A 19,567-nucleotide genomic window follows, 5' to 3' on the forward strand; every position below is an offset into this window, starting at 1 on the left:
TGATGCAGCATGAAGACCCTCACTAGATGCCAGTGCCATGCTCTTGACTTCTCAATCTCCAGAACTATGAGCCAAATAAATTTATTTTCTTTATAAATTACCCAGCAGAAAACAGACTAAGACACAAGCCCTCAGCAAGACCAAAATCTATATTCTCACCATTGGTATCACTATCTCACATTGAATGGTATAAAGAAAGGCAATGTGGGCCGGGTGTGGTAGCTCACACCTTTAATCCCAGCATTTTGGGAGGCTGAGGTGGGAGGATTACTTGAGCACCGGAGTTCAAGATCAGCTTGAGTAACATAGGGAGACCTTATCCCTACCAAAAAAAATGAAAAAAAAAAATTGCTGGTCATGGTAGTGTGCCTATGGTCCTAGTTACTCAGGAGGCTGAGGTGGGAGGATCACTTGAGCCTGAGAGATCAAGTCTGCACTGAGCTATGATTGCACCACTGCACTCCAGTCTGGGTGACAGAGGAAGACCCTATCTTTAAAAAAAAAAAAAAAAAAAGTAAAGCTTCTGCATAATTGTTCCTCTTTGCAGTAGGTGTTATTGGGGTCCTACTCAGGTCCTGTTTATCTGGTAAATGCCTGCATTCCCCAGCTGTGTGAATGTTGGCTGTTGGCAACTCACAGCTGTACCCCTAACCTAAGAATAGCCTTCAGCAGAGCTGTCTTGCCTAGAAATGCCTGTAAGGCGTATGCCTCCCTACCCAACACACACACCCTCCATAGGCAGCACACAGGCAATGACTGACTGATGAAGAAGCACAAAAGACCCAAGGAAGGACAATTCTGTGATACCATTCATGCCCCAGAACTCCCGCAGGATCAGGTTGGGGTCAGACTTTAGCGTACACGCATCTTTGCCCAGCTTCCTCCCCTCCCGTCCCCTGCTCAGCTTACTCCTCTACTGGCTTCTCCTGAACCCACTCCCTTAATGAGTCACTCCATTTCAGGCTCTCCTACTAGAGAACCTGACCTAAGGCACTTGCCTTGAACATTTCCAGAAATAGAGCTGTCTGCCTCACAAGGCATGCCATTCTGTTTTTGGACAGCTCTGATCATTAGAAAAGTTTTATTATTTTATTAGGATCACACTGCCTCTGTAATCTCCACACATGAGTCTATGTAGAGTAAGTCTAATCCCTTTTCCACATGACGGCCTCTCAGATATTGGGGCAGGGGGGATTCCTTCTTAAATCTACTTTATTTTTAGGCTATGAGAAAAAAGGGGGAGCTTTTTTAAAAAGTTTTTTAAAAACTATACAATAATATTCTAACTCAGAGTAATGTCTGCCTGACAACAAAATTGCATGAAGCAAATAATGAAAAGTCAGCCAGAAGAAAATCTGAAGAAGCTTATTTCAAATCCACTGGGTGCCAGGGGCAGAGAGAGGGGGTGGGGCAAAAAGACGTACCCAGCACAAGAGTGAAGAAGAGATCAAATCTCAGGAAAAGATAAATCAGACATAAACTACTCAAAACCAGACACAATGAAAGACTGCAAGGATCCCACAGAAGAGAAACCTTATAATTCTCCAGAGATGATGTCATAGAAGTAGACCTAAAAAAACTCTAGGACTCAAATGTGTATATGTCACATGCACACCGTATCCATACTTTGAAGATTTTTAGATAAGGATTGGTAAACACTGTCTCAGGATCATTGAGACTTACTGATGAGATGCATACCTGGAATACAACATTAAAAGAGCATGCATACCTTGTTCAAAAGGAAAACGTTTCCTCGAAAGGATAGGATAGGAAAATTGTATGTCAAGAATATATATATTCCAATGGAAATTTAAAATCTGAGAGTAGAAGTATTTAAAAGGGGATAAACCCGGAAAGAGATGGAAGTAGTATCTTTGAAGGACTGTAATACAGATACCCAGCACATGAAGGAAATTGGGTAAAACAATCCTAGATAGCTCTCATGAGCAGGGCAAAGTCAGAGATAACCAGGTCCATGCATGTTTGTGTCTCCACAATGTCAGATTTTTACTGATGCTATTTTAACCACAAAAGCCACAAGCTACATGGAGTTCTCAAGAAGGCAACTCTCTCCTTAGTACTTCTCGTTCACTCCGTAGTCAGAGCACACAGCTCAAGCCACTCCACAAGTCAGTCAACATTGCAAACCATATATAGTAGTATATTTCATCAACATATAAATGTTAAGATTAAACATTCCACACCAAAGTAATATTTAACATCAAGAGAAAGGGAATAGGAAAAAGGATTAATGAAGTAGTCCGAGGAAAGTGACGATGAAGACAGAAAGAATCTCCTGGTCTGTGCTCGGCGGTCCAGGAAAGGTCTTGAAAGGAAAAGTCTTTGATGTGGGCAGAGCCTTCAGCAGCAGATGCCAGGTGTTGATCACTAGTGACAGTAAGAGCATGTCAGTTAAGATGGCCGCTTTGAGCTGCTGAAGCCCTGCTCTTTTTACGACCACCAGAGGACTGATAGTGGAAGTGTGTGCTTGTTTATGCCCTTATCTGGTTGGATGCAGTCTTTATTTATTACAAATTTATTAAGCAAACATCGTATCCCTGTTGGCAAAATGTCCCGTGAAATGTAAGATGGAGTCTTTTTTTTAAGATGGAGTTACTTATGTCAAGGGTGCTCAATACAATAGCCTTTGTTGGGGCTTTATAACTTAAAATGTGCTTTCTCACATTTTCTTCAATCTCAGAGAAGACTTATCAGATGAATAATACATTATCATTATTTTATGGAAGTTATAAGTGATTAATTGACCATGCCCTGTTAAATTAAGTTTAGCCTAAAGCTGCCTCCTTACATATTTTTAAGTTGAGGCTAAAGGTTTCTCTGCACATAGTGAACTGTAACCTAACTGGATGTATCAACAGACTGTAACTTGCTCTTGTACCCATCACTGAGCTTCAGCCAATTGCAGATGGCCAACTGTTTAAACCACGTTCAAATAAGACAAACATCAAGCTGTAACAATCCAGCTGTTCCTATTCCTCACTTCTGTTTCACTTTCATTTTTCTGTTCATAAATCCTTTTCACGTGAGTCTGTCTGAATCTATTCTGGTTTGGGGATTGCCCAGTTCATGAAACATTCTTTGCTCAATTAAACTCTGTTAAATTTAGTTTGTCCAAAATTTTTCTTTTAGCAGCTGCAGATCGCCCAACTCATCGGTGGTAGGTCTAAGACTCGAGCATGGGTCTTTAAGCCTAAAGTCTATATTCTTGCCACATAGCCATGCTATCTTCTGATACATGTAGCAAAACTGCTACAGAATTGGCCACCTGGAACCAGTTAGTGGTATCCTGCTATTAACCACATGTATTGGTTACCTGATGCTGCCATAACAAATCACCACAAACTAGGTGGCTTAAAACAACAAAAAATTATTATCTCAGTGTTGGCAGCTAGTAGTCTGCAACTAAGGTGCTGGCAGGTTGATGTTTTCCTCTGACGCCTCTAGGGAACCTTCCTTGCCTCTTCCTAGCCTCTAGCAGTTGCTTGCCACCCTTGGTGCTCCCTGGCTTCTAGATGCATCACTGCAGTCTCCACCTACGATCTTCTCCCTGTCTGTGTCCCTGTGTCCCAATGCTCCTCTTTTTATAAGGATCCAGTTATATTGAATTTAGGGCCCATTCTAATCCAGTATGACCTCGTCTTAACTTGATTACATCTGCAAAGACTGTATTTTCAAATAAGGTCATATTCACAGGCTCCAGGTGAACATAAGCTGGGGAAAGGCACACATTCAACCCAGCGCACAGCAGACGGAGAGTTTGTTCTTGGTTTGGGTTACTGACAATTTTCCCTCAGCAGGTAAAGGAATACATTTAGGAAATTTTTGTCCTGGATTCCAACAAGAAAGAAGGAGGTGTCAAATGCAGAAACAAGCAAACCTTGGAATAAAATGGCCTTGATGTTTATAATAGTGAAAAAGGTAATGGTCAGACCTTCAGAAAGGGGGCTTCATAAAAAGTAAGGAAAATAATAGTGCCCAAGGGAATATGTTTAGAAGAGGAATGTAGACTCTGAAAACAGGATTACTTGAGCATTACAAAAATGATCCTGTTTAGGAGGAAAGATATGCTGTCTGGAAAGAAAATATAATAGAAATAATCTCAGATAATTGACCATAAACAAGCTTGTGCTGAAAACATAAACAGCAAGAATAGAATAATAGTCTAGGAGCACACAGTTCTCAGAGAGGAGGTAAAAGGAGGGTTAGATCTGGAGTAGTAAGACTCGAGGTTCCTATGGCTCAGAGGACGGATGGGGTGGACAGACCCAAGCATGCGATAAAAGAAAGGGAAAATTTGTTTAGAGTATTATGAGAATAAAGTCTTAAAATAAAGTAGGGGCGGAGATAAATACTAAAGACAGCAAGAAAGCTGTTTTTCTTTTTAATCTCCGTAGCCAAGAAAAGATCTGGGAAGAAAAACCTATGCTGTATCTCAGACAATATCACCTTAGGCCAAGCATGGTGGCTGACACCTGTAATCCTAATGCTTTGGGAGGCCAAGGCAGGAGGATCACTTGAGCCCAGGAGGACCTCTTGCCCACCAGCCTGGGCAACAAAGTGAGACTCCATCTCTACAAAACTTTGTAAAAAATTAGCCAGGTGTGGTAGCACACGCCTGTGTTCCCAGCTACTCGGGGCTGAGGTGGGAGGATCACTTGAGCCCAGAAAGTAAACCCTCACTAGCCATGTTCACTCCACTGCACTCCAGCCTGGGCCACAGAGCAAGACCTTGTCTCAAAAAAAAAAAAAAAAATTACAATATAACCTTAACAAATGATAACATAATCAAAGAACCATTCAATTTTCTGCTTCCTTCCATATTCTAAGAGAGATGAACATCAATTTTGAAGCAAACATTATGAAGAGAGAATTAAAACCTACAATAGAAAAAGAGATAGTAAGAGAAATCTTCACTTACTCTGAATGACTTCAAAACTTCTGTTAATACAAATTCTATCCCAAAGTATCAAAAGAGTTTGCAGATGAGATCAGAGAACTGCTCCTGAGAATCAAGGAGAATGGAAAAGGTGACTAATGGCTGGAAAATGTTTCTACTTCTAAAAATAGTGAAAGAATGAGATCTGTATGTAAACTGATGAGCCTCATGCAGACGCCAAACAAAATTCTAAAATGGATGATTTGTAGGCAAGATACAGTAAACAAATACTAACCAGTGTGAATTCACTAAGAACAAGTCATGCCAACCAGTCTCACTTCTTTTCTTAGATTTGGTTGCCTGTGTGTCAGGAGGAAGGCATGCACATGGTATGCCTTGGTTTTAGCATAGCATTTGCCAAATATCGTGATGCACACCTTTTGTTGTTAAGATGGAGGAATGAGGGCCCAGGTAACAGCAAGATGACTGGTGGTTTGCTGCATAGTTAGGCATTCAATGTCACCCAAAGAATATTGGCCAAAGACTTGACTTCCACCTTAAAAGGCAAACTCCAAGAATTTATGATTTGCTCATTTCTGTTCAATATTTTTGTCAAAAACATGAAAACCACAGAATGCATGTTTATGAATATTTCAATTTAAAAATTAGGGAGACAGAGCTAATACACGAGGAGACAATTCAAAACTATTTCTTCATATAGAAATCAGGCCCAAAACAAAGAAAATACAAATTATTTGGGATAAACATAAGGCCAAAAAAAAAGAGAGAGACAGAGAGACTAATAATACCAATAGCTTACATTTATTGAACAGTTACTATGCATTATATAGTCACATGCCATATATACATATGTTTTGAGACTGGATCTTGCTCTGTTGCCCAGGCTGGAGTGCAATGGCACAATCTTAGCTCACTGCAACCTCCCCGTCCCAGGCTCAAGCAGTCCTCCCACCTCAGCCTCCCGATAGCTAAGACTACAGGCACGTCACCATGTTTGGCTAATTTATATATATTTCATAAAGATGGGGCTTCATCATGTTGCCCAGGCATTATATTTTTTAACCTCATAACCACCACATTATCATTAGAATTATTGCTTTTAAAATTTATCAGCGAGGAAGCTAAGCCTGAGGGGCTAAGTAATTTCTGCAATTTATAGTTAGTAAGTGGCCAAGACTTAAATCCAGGTGTGCCTAAATTCAGGGCTTATGGTTTTAGCAACTTTACTAGTCTCATCAATGCAGGAATGGAGGTTACTTGGCATTAACTTATTTTGAGTTTTAATTGAAAACACCCAGATAAAAGTGTTAATATTGCACAGTAGCCACTTAATAATGCTATCTTCTTTCTTACTACAACATTGAAAATTTAGGAGAAACTTGATAGTTGAATTCAAATAATTTAAGAATTGATAAAATCTATGTAACTCAAAACAAAAAAAACTAAGATTACAGTTAAAAATTACACTGTGATATATATATATCATATATATATGATGGAATATAGGCAATGACTTATTTATGTTAAAAGATGGAAGAAACATAGATCAGTGTAGTTAAAGCCCAGTGTAGTTCAACCATATATATATGATATATATATGATGGAATATATATATATATATATCATATATACATAATGGAATTATATACATGATATATATCACATATATATGATGGAATATATATATATATATATATATATATATATATATATATATATATATATATCTCGCAGTTTCTTTATCCACTAATTGATTGATTGGCATTTGGGTTGGTTCCATGATACATATATCATATATACATGACGGAATATATATATCATATAATATATATAATATATATATCATATGATATATATATACATATATTATATATATCATATGATATATATAATACATATATTATATATATATCATATGATATATATAATACATATATTATATATATATCATATAATATATATAATACATATATTATATATATATCATATAATATATATAATACATATATTATATATATCATATAATATATATAATACATATATTATATATATATCATATAATATATATAATATATATATTATATATATATGATGGAACACTACTCAGCCATAAAAAGGAATGAATTAATGACATTCACAGCGACCTGGATGAGATTGGAAACTATTATTCTAAGTGAATTAACTCACGAATGGAAAACCAAACATGGTATGTTCTCACTTATATGCGGGAGCTAAGCTATGAGGACACAAAGACATAAGAATGATACAATGGACTTTTGGGACTTGGAGGGAAGGGTGGGAGCCTGGTGAGGGATAAAAGACTACAAATAGGGTGCAGTATATAGTGCTCAGGTGATGGGCACACCAAAATCTCACAAATCACCACTGAAGAACTTAACTCATGTAACCAAATACCACCTGTACCCCAATAACCTATAGAAAAATAAAATAAAAATGAATGACAAAAAAATTACACTGAGATAAATTTTTGTTCAATAACATGAACATTTTTCTATATTGTGGCTTTCCAACCACGGAATAAACTACCTTGCACAGGAATAAGTTCTGTATCAGCATTTCTATGAGTGGGTAGTTGAACTGAGAGGAGAAATCTCTAGGTGATTTCTCAGTCTTCTAAATCTAAGGTTCAATAAAGAAAACAGTTTAAAGGTTAAGTGGTGCAAAAAGGAATTCCTGAGAATCACTGACTCATAACTGCAAGGAAACTTGTAGTCATCAGCAACATAAGTTAAACAAGTTGTGGTCTAAAGCCTAAGTCTCCTATTTTAATTCTTTTAGGAAGGTAAGAAACCCTCGGAACACTCCACTTATTCTATTTTATTTATCCTCAGAGTGTTTATTGAAGGTACAGCAGTCATCAACATCCCCGTTTTGTTGACTGGAAAATGAAGCAATTCCACAGCCAATGAATGGCAGGGCAAGATGGGAGGTCAGTTCCTGTAGACATCTGGTAATCTTTCCATGACATTACTGTTTTCATCTCAATAGATGATCCCAAGGCTTTTTTTAAAATTAAATATATTTTTAAAGTAATTTTAATTCTCTCATTCATATATATATACACATATATGTAATTTACCACTTGTGAAACACTTAATCACATGATTTTGATCTACATCCATATGGTTCTATGCAAATTCCTTACCAGCTAGTAATTAAGAACCCTGGTTAAATGTAACACTTGTAAAAGCAGTCCTGGAATTTTGGTGCTGGCCTGGCATGGTATAATAAAGGTGCTCATTCCTGGAATGCAGGGTCAAATTCCAGCCTGGCTCTGCCACTGACAAGTCATGGGACCTTGGGCAAGTCAAGCAACCACTGTGCACCTCAATTTCTTGGTTTCTAACATTTGTGAAGGGCTTGAACTACACTGATCTATGTTTCTTCCATCTTTTAACATAAGTAAGTCATTGCCTATTGAGAACTCATGCCTATCAGTTTACTTGTGATGGTCATTTCGTCTTTCACAGCTCAAGGCATGATTTAGTTTATAATTCTATTGATTTTTAATGTTTTTCAGCCAGGTCATATCAGAAGGAACTTTGCATGCATATTTAGCCTGATTTTAGCAATATTTTTAATCTAATAAACTTAACCAAGCAGTCTTGTTGTTGTTGTTGTCGTCAAAATTTGGGGTAAAATTTCAAAAACAGGAATATAACTTTTTAACTTTTCAACTGTACTCATGCATTTTGGTTTAGCAGTATGCTTTTTTCCCCCATGAATTCAGCAATCTTAAAATATGCTATCGCACAAGATACTCATGGGGGATTTAACACCAAATTTTGTTTTGGAACCTATAGTCACTCACTGTTCCAATCTGAAAAATACATAGATGTATCTCAAGTGTATATATTGGTTACCAGCTGGTAGTTTCTCAAATATCTCCATTTCTTTCAGCTGCTTCACACTCACTACCAAGCAAAAAGGTAGGCTTCCTATGAGCAATGATATGAAATAATGTCATAGGTAAATCAAAATAATCTAGATGAAAATAAAATCAGAGTCACAATCCAATTAGTATTTAATATCTCTGTAATTGAGTGTATGCTAATAATCTTTGAACATTTAGTTTCTTAAAACAGAAAAACCAAATACAGGTACATTCATCTCATTCATTACATTTAATTTTCTACTAACAAGAATGTTCAAGTTTTACAGGGCGAGTATCCCTTATCTGAAATGCTTGGGATGAGAAGTGTTTCCAATTTTGATTTTTTCCCAGTTTTGGAATATTTGCATTATACTTACTGGTTGAGCATCCCTAATTCAAAAATCCAAAATCTGAAATGCTCCAATGAGCATTTCCTTTGAGTACCATGTTGGCACTCAAAAATTTCAAATTTTGGAGCATTTCAGGTTTCAGATTTTTTGATTAAGGATACTCAACTTGTACTATCAAACTGGGAGCTCAAACTAGGACATCATTCCAAAGAAACCTTCCAGAATGTCATGACGTCGTAATTAAATGTTTTTGTTACAGAAAGGGGTCTCAGTTCAGAACCCAAGAGAGGGTTCTTGGACCTCACGCAAGAAAGAATTCAAGGCAAGTCCATACAGTAAAGTGAAAGCAAGTTTATCAGGAAAGTAAAGGAATAAAGAATGGCTACTCCATAGGCAGAATAGCGGCATGGGCTGCTCGACTGATGATACTTTTTGTTACTTCCTGATTATATGCTAAACAAGGGGTTGATGATTCATGAGTCTCCAGGAAAGGGGTGGGCAATTCTCGGAACTGAGGGTTCCCGCCTCTGCCCCTGCCGACTTCTTAGACCATATAGGGTAACTTCCTGATGTTGCCATGGCATTTGTAAACTGTATGGCACTGGCGGGAGTGTCTTTAGCATGTTAGCGCATTATATAATTAGTGTATAATGAGCAGTGAGACGACTGGAGGTCACTTTCATCGCCATCTTGGTTTTGGTGGGTTTTGGACAGCTTCTTTACGCATGCTGTTTTATCAGCAAGGTCTTTGTGACCTGTATCTTGTGCCGACCTCCTATCTCATCCTGTGACTAGGAATGCCTTAACCTCCTGGAATGCAGCTCAGTAAGTCTCAGCCTTATTTTACCCACCCCCTATTCAAGATGGAATTGCTCTGGTTCAAAAGCCTCTGACAGGTAGAAATTCAGATGTTAGAATATTTTACCTCCTTAAAATAATTTAAAGGACCAATTACTGTATAGCTTATTTATTTGGATATTTTATATGATGTTTTCTAAACATATAGTATTTGTCAGTGTTTCCAGTGACAAGGTTTTTTGTGAAGGGATTTAGACCAGTGGGGAGCCCAAGGATATTTATTTTGCTGTCGTTCTTGAGTCACTATAAATATTTCAGTTAAGAGTAGTCATAGGAGAGCAAGCAATTGGAGCTATCTGGATTTGAAAGTACTTCAGCTTTCTTCAGCATCCATGCTATCAGTAGCTGCCTAACCTTGCCTTCTGATATTATGCAAGAATTGGACGCTTCTAGCTAACAAACCTTCACTCATGCTGGCTTTTCCCATCCTTTGATCCCTTACCTTGATGCTGCTTTATGATGCCAAAACACCTCAAAGCTTGAACTTGGATAGCATCAAAACATAAAGACAGTACTGAATCAGCTCATGAATCCTCAAAATCAAAAGTCCTTCTCCCCTGTCCGCATGTCCAGCATTTGTGACTTAGTGAATCATAGGGTGGGGAAGTGACTCACAGTCAGCCCAACAGCACTCTTTTTTTCATTAGTTGTTTCTGAAGAATTGTAAAGTTCTGAATTCAAAGCGTGCTTATAAGTTATCGAGATGGACTTTTTCTCCCCTGCAGCATGCCAGAAACTATACAATCCACCCCCTCTGAAGGAGTTTGTTCATTTAAAAAAAAAAAAAGGGTAAGCATGTTTTTAAAATTTAGTTGCAGCAGACAGTACAGAAAACAGTTATTATGGCCACAGCACATGTTGCCTGGGTCTGCTGCTTTTTCTTCTTTCCTATTTTCTCTCATCCCTTTGTTCCACTAAATCCTCCTGCTCCTACCCCCTTTTACCACCACCCCCTCCTCTTCCTCCCTCCTCCACCCTGGATCCCTAGAGAGGGTTGACCTGGGGGCTAGGTAATAATCCCAGAAAGGGCTTGGGATTCCAAATTGCCAGAGATCAAGAAGGCCATCCAGGGAAAACCTGGAAGGACACAGAGTGGTCAGTGTAAATGCATCCACGTGCTCCAAGTGGGCAAAGTAATTGGTTAAAATGTGTAAATGTAAATGCTAAAAATCGAATCTCTATAGAGTGGCCAATGCTATAAAAGGATTACCTTATTCTAAACAATTTTTTCATTCTGTATTTTTCCTGCCAATCTATATATTGTTCATTATTTCACCTTCTCCTTGTTGTTTTCCTGAGCTTTGGGCAAACCTCATCACTTAATGCATGCAATAAATGGGAGTAAGTTCAATTTTTCATCGAGGATAACCATGATAAAAAAAAGAAAGAAGAAATTCACTAATACTACAAACTGTGTTAACCTTGACATGAGAACTTTCAGAGGAGTAGTGGAGGCAAAAGCTTGATTGGAAGGGACTGAAGGGAATGGGAGGAGAAGAATTGAAGGCAGTAAGTATAGACAACCCCAGAAGAATCATTCAGTGAAGAGCAGCAGAGATAGTAGAGCTGGAGGGAGAGTTACAGGTGGATGTGGGGTCAAGAAAGTTTTTAATATAATTAATGTGAGAGAAATAAGAGCATCTTTATATGGTGATAGTAATGATGAGGCCAAGAGGGGAAAAACTGATGACATAGGGGAGGGAGTGTATTAGTCCATTCTCATACTGCTATGAAGAAATACCTGAGACTGGGTAATTTATAAAGAAAAAGAGGCTTAATGGACTCACAGTTCCACATGGCTGGGGAGGCCTCACAATTATGGCAGAAGACAAAGGAGGAACAAATGCACATCTTACATGGCGGCAGGCAAGAGAGCGTGTGCAGGGGAAGTGCCCTATATAAAACCGTCAGATCTTGTGAGACTTGTTCACTATCACAAGAACAGCACAGGAAAAACCTGTCTTCAAGATGCAATTACCTCCCACCAGATCCGTCCCACAACACATGGGGATTATGGTAGCTACAATTCAAGATGAGATTTGGGTGGGGACAGGGCCAAACCATATCAGGGAGTATGTTTGCCTTTGCCAAGCAGCATTAAGGGTTTATGTTCATGAATTTAAGATGGGAGTGGAAGGACTGCTGGAGATGGAGCATGTTAGGGGTTAAATTGTATGCCCCCCTCAAAAAAAAATTTAAGTGTTGAAGTCCTAACCTCTGGTACCTCAGAATGTTACCTTACTTATCCTGACTAGTTAAGATGAGGGGGTGTCCTAATCCAGTGTGACTGGTGTCCTTATAAAAATAGGAAATTTGGGTGCAGACAGGCACACAGGGAGAACACCATGTCAACACGAAGGCAGAAGTTGGAGTGATGAGTCTACAAGCCAAGGATTGCCAGCAATTCATCAGAGGCCAGGACAGCAGCCTGGGGCAGCCCCCTACATGGTACCAACTCCATCAACACCTTGATCTCAGACTTCCAACCTCCAGAACTGTGTGAGAATTCATTTCTATTCTTTAAGCCACCTAATTTGTGGCACTTTGCTTTGACAGTTCTAGCACACAGGGTGATTGAGGAAGCGTGCTAGGAAGAGAGGAAGCAGGGGTCCTAGAGTGGGCGGCATGCCTTGCAGCCGTGGAGGCCACACAGCTGTGGGAAATGACAGGGTCTGCAATCACGGTGATGAAAGGGGAAGGACCAGATTGTGAGAGGAAAGGTCAGTAGGGAACTGAGAGACCAGGATAATGGAGGGACAATCCATGTGTAAGTTGAACTTGCCCAGAGTTAAGACAGGAAGAGGAATGCAATGGTGAGGCAGGAACACTGAGGAACCAGGGGGAATGACTTCAGGATGACAGATGTCACAAAATGAGAAGTCAGGTGACATAACCTGATGACCTGAGATTCAATGCAGGACACTTTTAGGAAAGAGAAAGAGGTAATGATGCAGAAGTGGCAATGAGGAGTGTAAAAGAAACGCACCCCACCTCCAGGCCCCATGGCACAACTGGAGGGAGCAAACCACAGCCACCACGGGACAAGGAGAATAACGACAGAATCAGAAGGCAGTGTTCCCAGAGGACAGCCATGTTTTCATCAGAGTGAGATGGTGCTGGAAGAGTCAGAGCCAAGGTTGACACTATTGGGTTTTGCTAATAATGGACTGTGAGTTCCAGCAGGGCCCAAAAGGGGCTTCAGGATTGGGCAAGGGTAGATGTCCTCCTCTAGTCCATGACCAATGCTGATCCACACTGGACTAATTACTTCCCTGATTCCAAGCTAGTAGATGGGTAGCAGTAAATGTTCCATCTCCAGCTGTACTCACCTTGTTGACTTTATTTTCTAACTGTAGCTAATTCTGTCCCAGGACCTGGCTATTACACAGGCTGAAGCAGCAGTTAGCTCCTCTTTTCTTTGGGACCCACAGAAATCACAGCAGCTGTGTTGTTGTGGGGTTTCTTGGCGTTTGTTTTGGTTTGGTTTGTTTTTTTTGCCAGTAATTTTTTTCCCAGAAAGGCATTCTTTCTCTTCACTGCAGTGGAAGTGAGAGAGGGAGAGAGGGTGCAGAGAGGGAGAGGGCAAGTAATCAGATTCCAAGATGACCATCTCCCCAGAAGGCTTTCACTATTCCTCAACATATGGCATCATTTTAGCATCCTCAGCTCTGTTAGTTTGAGGGTAACCTCAGCAAACATGCCCCTCTCATGAGCAAGGTATGTGGTTTGACAAGCAGACTGTGACTTTTGTGATTAGAAAAAAGCATCCTTCCTCCTGGTGAATGCAGGCCATGTCAGGGCGCTCAGCTTGACAAGGAGACAGTAGGCTGGATTTTAGATCCTATTCATTTCTTGGGCTAAGTATTCTTACACAGTCAACAACCTGGACAACTGTACATAGCAGATCTAATGGGAGAAAAGTAATTGGGTGTTTTAAGGAATATTTTCATTAAAGTATGTGGAATATGGTATCAAGTAGTGACTGTCATGTAACAATGCCTTTTACACATTCCAATGTGTGTGAAATACAAAAAAAAAGTTTCCGTGTTAATCCCCTTATAAAATAATTGAAGAAGTCTTTTTTATGTGCAATTGTTTCTGAAAATATGTTAAAGTTACCCAGAAAAGTGTTCACATTTTCAGACTATTATCTCATTCTAGGAAAAATTAGGACAACTTGACTCATGCTGGGGAGGCTAGAATCCTGGAGAGAATGAAATTAGAAAAACCTAGATTTTGGGTCCCCCAAGATAGCTCAAGTCTGTCAGTTCTGCAAAACAGAATTATGCCCCATTCCCATTCTCTCACTCCTTACCTGAGATGCAGACAGGGCTTAGAAAGGACACGCCAAGATTTGCTGCCTTGCCACACAAGCTGGGTTTTCCCTCCCTGGGCCCTGCCAGCCTGGAGGTCATATTTCCTTTACCTTTTGTCCATTTTTCCCTCCCTGGGGCCTGGCTTGAAGGACAATTCTTGTTTAGAAGAAATCAAGTCTAAGATGTTACTAATCTGGAAATGTTGATCTGGTCTGCCTCTAACATTTGTGGGGCCCAAAGCAAGAGTACAGACTAAGGTCCCCAAACCATGTGTCTAGTTATTTAGAAGTTATAAATCAAAGCTAACAAACTGCTGAATAAAAGATCCTATTCTCCTATCTGATAAATATACCCTCCAAACAACCCAGAAACCCAAGGTAGGAATGCGGTGGCACAGGGAGTGCTAACTCCTGGCTCACAGCCCATGCTCCCTCTTTTCCCACAGCCAGCCCTCCATGAATGAGGAACTTCCTGGGGCCACTAGTGCATGCTGCAGCTCACACAGTCAACTCCATCCACACCTCCACAAACAGCTGCCCTTTGGCCACTACTCAGGCGTAAGGACACACCCAGCAGGGTATGCCCTCTGGAGGTCAGACCAGGGAAGAAGCCCTTGCACAGTCAGGAGCCAGCTCAGCACCTGTGATGCTGAATTCTATGTGGCAACTTGACTGGACGCAGGTGCTCGGATTAAACCTGATTTCTGGGTATGTCTGTGAGGGTATTTCCAGAGGAGATTAGAATTTGAATCCGTGGATTGGCAAAGTTGGTGTCTGCCCCAGTGTGGGTGGTCACCATCTACTCTCCTGAGGGCCTGAAGAGAACAAAAGGCAAAGGAAGGAGGAATTCGCCCTTAACTTGCTTGCCGCCTGCCTGCTTGAGCAGAGACATTTCATCACATCTTCTCTGGCCCTCGACTGAGATTCACACCATTGGCTTCCCTGGTTCTCAGGCATTTTGACTTGGACTGAACTACACCATTGGCTTTCCTGGGCTCCAGCTTGCACATAGCAGATTGTGGGATTTCTCAGCCTCTATTATTACAGGCGCCAGTTCTTCAAAATCAACCTCTCTCTCTCTGTCTCTCTCTCTCTCCCTAGATCACAGTCTGGAAGTCTGCTCACAGTCTCAAGGTTGGCATATCCCCTAGAGCCCCCAGACTCCTCATCCCATGGAGACCAACATGGCCAGGGGAGGGCCAGAGCAGGGCCTTCTAAATCACAGACCCCAGGGCAGGAGCCCCTCCGGTCTGGATCTAAGGATGGTATTTTCAACAATTCCTAAATTTTTATCCTAGGCTCTCCAAATGGGAGTCTAAAGGTCTCAAAACATGGTCCAGAAGAAGTATGCAAAAATGTAAATTCCTAGGCCCCAACCCAGACCTATGAATCAGATGATCTGTATGGGGGTTCAAGGAATCTATATTATTAAACAATCTTCCTAAATGACTTGTATTCATACTAAAGCTTGAGAATTGCTATCAAACAGCTAGAAGTTGGAGTGAAGGGTCCTGCCTTTCCCATGAAATTCATCAACTCTATGCCCTCAAAAGCTGGGCTCTTGGATGAGCTGCTCTCCATTCTAGAGACATTACCAGCTAGGTAGCCTGCTGGTCCTCAGGAAGTTAAGCCCAGACTCTTCAGCACAGAATCAGATAAACACTGATTACATTGTACTCTACAGTTCTGAGAACACCATTACTTAATTCCCGGCAAGTTGCAATGTAATTGAGTAGGTTGTAGTTTTTTGGGTTTGGGGTTTTTTTGTTTTTTAAATATATCAGGCGTAGTTAGCCAGCTTCCTAGAAACACCATGATCTCTTGGTGAAAATTCCAGAAATATGCATCACTTCCTAATTAAAGTAGGGAATTTTTAAAAATTATTAAACCACATGCTTTCTAATTCCTATTGCCCTTTCTTTTCACCCACCATTCAGCAGTCAGCAGACACTTTCTGGGTACAACAGGGTAGGACCATCCAGGCAGAACAAAAGCCATTGATCATGAACTACAGAGGAGAGTTTGGTAAATGGACACCAGAAACCATGGCCTACAGGGGCCTGGTTTTCTCCCATCTAAATACTAACTAGGCCCAACGCTAGTTGGGCTTAGCTTCCTAGATCAGATGAAATTGGGCACATTTAGGGTTGGGGGTATGGCTCTCTATTGTAAGTAGCAAGAGTTTGAGAGAAGAAAAAAGGGATTTTCTTTTTTTTTTCTTTTAAATTTTAGAGCATTAACTTTAAACATCAAGATCCAAACCCCAAGGATTCAGAGAATCTTGTACTATAAACCATTTGTATTAGTCAGGGTTCTCCAGAGAAACAGAACCCATAGGAGGTATAGAGATAGAGAAATATGGAATTGGCTCCCATGATTATGGAGGCTGAGAAGTCCCTCAATCTGCTGTCTGTGAGCTGGAGACCTAGGAAAGCTTAGCTGGTGGTACAAACCAGCCCAAGTGCAAAGGCCCAAGAACTAAGAGCACCATTGTCAGAGAGCAGGAAAAGACAGATGTCCCAGCTCAAAAAGAGAGAGCAAATTCACCTTCCTTCCACCATTTTATTCCGTCCTGTTCCATTCCTCAACAGGTTGGATGATGAGGGAGATCTTTATCCATCTCAAGTTTTTTGTGCAAATATGGAATACAAATGAAAAATACTTAAAGCACATCATCATTGATTTCCAACTTAGACTAGTTTAACTTCCCTTTTTCTTCTATCCTGTCAGTTCCTTGAGGGATCCTCTCTCCTTGTTCATCTCTGCATCTCTAGTAATTAGCACAGTGCCAGGCACATGGTAATATGGCTAAAACAGTGGATTATTGGTCTCCAACATAATTAAGCCCATCCAAAAGAAAAACCAACCTCATAAATCTGCTTTGCAAAGTTCATAAACAATGGATATGCTATGTCTCAAAGGTGCTGGCCAAAAAAATTTAAGAACTTGGGAATTATGTGTTATTTTGTTTGTTTTTTTCACCAAGCCTACTTTTCTGTCACAAGAGCCCATATCAACAACACACCCATGTATGTCCTTCTTTTTATCTACTTTTCTCCATGAAGTTTGTCACCATCAACTGTTAAAACTGTAAAGATTTGATCAGCTAAATAAGTGGTCTTTGAACTAATTCCTCTCGTACTTCCTAAAGGAACTTTGAAAAACTATGTATCCCCTTGCACATTTTCAAGCAGACACCTAAGATTTTTCATCATAAATTTGAATAACTTCAAAATATGTACTTATTAGCATATTGTAAATATTGATTTTTAAATAAAATATATCACACTTTGTATCCAATGAACTCTAAACACCATAGCAATTTGACACTTACTCTCCCACCCTCAGTCTTAAAAATTCACCAACAACCTCTTTTTTAACAACCGAAAAATTTGTATTATTCCTTTTTAAAATTTTGAAGTTTTCTGGATTGAATTATTTTTATAATGATTTTTAGTATACAACTGACCAAAGCAACATAAATATATAGCATATTTTGATAAATAATTATAAAACATAGCAAGTTATGTGTTATTGGAAAATTAAACTAAATGAATGGATCTTTTTAAATTAGTTCGGGTATCTGTGGCTGTTCCTAACTGTTAAAATGAGACAGAGTCAGCGTCAATTCTACTCTTATTTTTTATTTTTTTAGACGTAAGCCCTGAGAAAACTTGTTCAATTAAATAAGTAATGAGAATGTTAGGCATTTTCTGATAAAAATGTCACTCTGTTATTTGAATGCCTTCTTGATTATAAGTCAAAAAGTACATAGTGATCTATTATCAAAAACTATTGGCCTATCTGTTGACAACTTGGGTAGGTCCTCCTTTAATTTTATTGAAAGCAAAGAATTGGAAACTACCTAATTTACAAAAAAAAGAAGAAGAAGAAGAAGAAGAAGAAATGTGTTACCTAATTATTAGAGCTCACTTTCTAAGTTTCTAGGAAGTATGACCCAAAAAAGCTTGGCCAAGACTTATCACATGGCTGTTGATTATACCATCACCCTTTTACTTACAGGCGTCTTGCTTATGGACCTAAAAAAGATGAAACTGGAGTTAGAAACAAAAACAGAAAATTGTAAATTGTGCATTTGGGGACTTTTCTCCTTGACTGTGAACAGAGACCTATATACAATGCCAAATTTCATTTTTTAAGAATGTCTCAAAATGCAGAGTAAAGAAATGACAGAAGGACAGACACTTGGGGATATTCATGTATATACTAATAACTTCTTCCCAAATATGACTGAAGACAATACACTTAGCAGAACTGAAATCAATATATTAACATCTGAAAGGGAGAAATTAATCCTAATTCAATCAAGCCAGTTTTCTAAAGTTCAGGTCATTGCATATTAGATTTACATTTTGGAAAAATTTTTTTTGCTTTTGAACCAATAGATTTCTGCTTTTGACAGTATAGTTTAAATACTTTATGTAAGTTGACAGCAAGAGAAAGAACTTAGTCACCAATAAGTATAGTACAAGATTATGGAAAGCACATTAAGGACCTCTAAGCACATTAGTTAGAGTATAATCTGCAATATATTCCTGTTAAATTACTTAATGCTAATTCTGTGGACTGAATTTCATTCCCCCAAAATTTATATTTTGAAGGCTTAACCCTTAATGTGACTATATTTGGAAATAGTGCCTGTGAAGAGGTGATAAAGGTTAAATGAGGTCACAGGCTGGGGTCCTACTTCACTAGGACTGGTGTCCTTTAAAGAAGAGGACAAGATGCCAGATGCTCTCGTTCATGTGCCCCCTTTCTCTCTCTCTCTCTCTCGCTGGTTCACTCTCTCTCTCTCTCCTCCTGCCCCCCATGTGAGGATATAAGGAGAAGGCAGCCATCTGCCAGCCAGGAAGAGAGCCCACACCAGAACTTGACCATGCTGACACCCTAATCTTGGATTTCTAGCCTCCAGAGTTATGAGAAAATAAATTTCTGTTATTTAAACCACCTGGTGCATGGTATTTTGTTATGGCAACACAAGCTGACTTATATACCTAATAACTACATGGCAGGAATTAATACATGAACGGGAAAGTTGTTCATGAGTGACAGTGAGCAGGAGACCTGTACCTTCATCAGAAATGAATATAGATTTCATATTTTGCTAACTTTTAGCAAAAATTAATGAAAGTGTTTCTCCTATAAATCTGAGTAAATATTTAAGAAAATACAAAATACTAACTTACCTCTAATATGTGTTTCTTTTGTTA

General features: G+C 39.3%; 1 long non-coding RNA gene and 1 pseudogene across 9 annotated transcripts in view, besides 2 other annotated features; one reads left to right on the forward strand and one right to left on the reverse strand.

The window, feature by feature from the left end:
* Positions 9,471-9,765: an enhancer, noted in NCBI's record as "tiled region #6701; K562 Activating non-DNase unmatched - State 1:Tss, and HepG2 Activating non-DNase unmatched - State 23:Low". NCBI's record gives its function as "activates a minimal TATA promoter and a strong SV40 promoter by Sharpr-MPRA in K562 cells, with weaker activation in HepG2 cells {active_cell/tissue: HepG2 | K562}" and the evidence as "EXISTENCE:reporter gene assay evidence [ECO:0000049][PMID:27701403]".
* LINC02577 (long intergenic non-protein coding RNA 2577) overlaps positions 9,806-19,567 on the forward strand; it is a 63,465-nt gene continuing 53,703 nt past the window's right edge. For 3 of the 9 annotated variants that reach the window (NR_170304.1, NR_170303.1, NR_170302.1), the window contains exon 1: positions 9,806-9,988. This is a non-coding gene — a long non-coding RNA (long intergenic non-protein coding RNA 2577). Of the gene's footprint in view, positions 9,989-10,746; positions 10,811-12,329; positions 12,521-14,782; positions 17,637-19,567 lie in introns of those variants that run through there. The other 6 variants (NR_170306.1, NR_170309.1, NR_170307.1 and 3 more) reach the window with 6 other exon arrangements.
* Positions 9,877-11,076: an enhancer, noted in NCBI's record as "P300/CBP strongly-dependent group 1 enhancer chr7:106415535-106416734 (GRCh37/hg19 assembly coordinates)". NCBI's record gives its function as "activates an origin of replication core promoter dependent on BRD2, BRD4, P300/CBP, MED14 and CDK7 cofactors, with strong dependence on P300/CBP, by STARR-seq in HCT116 cells {active_cell/tissue: HCT116}" and the evidence as "EXISTENCE:reporter gene assay evidence [ECO:0000049][PMID:35650434]".
* RNA5SP236 (RNA, 5S ribosomal pseudogene 236) lies at positions 16,388-16,503 on the reverse strand (annotated as a pseudogene).

This window comes from Homo sapiens, chromosome 7 (assembly GCF_000001405.40).
Source record: "Homo sapiens chromosome 7, GRCh38.p14 Primary Assembly".
NCBI lineage: Eukaryota > Metazoa > Chordata > Mammalia > Primates > Hominidae > Homo > Homo sapiens.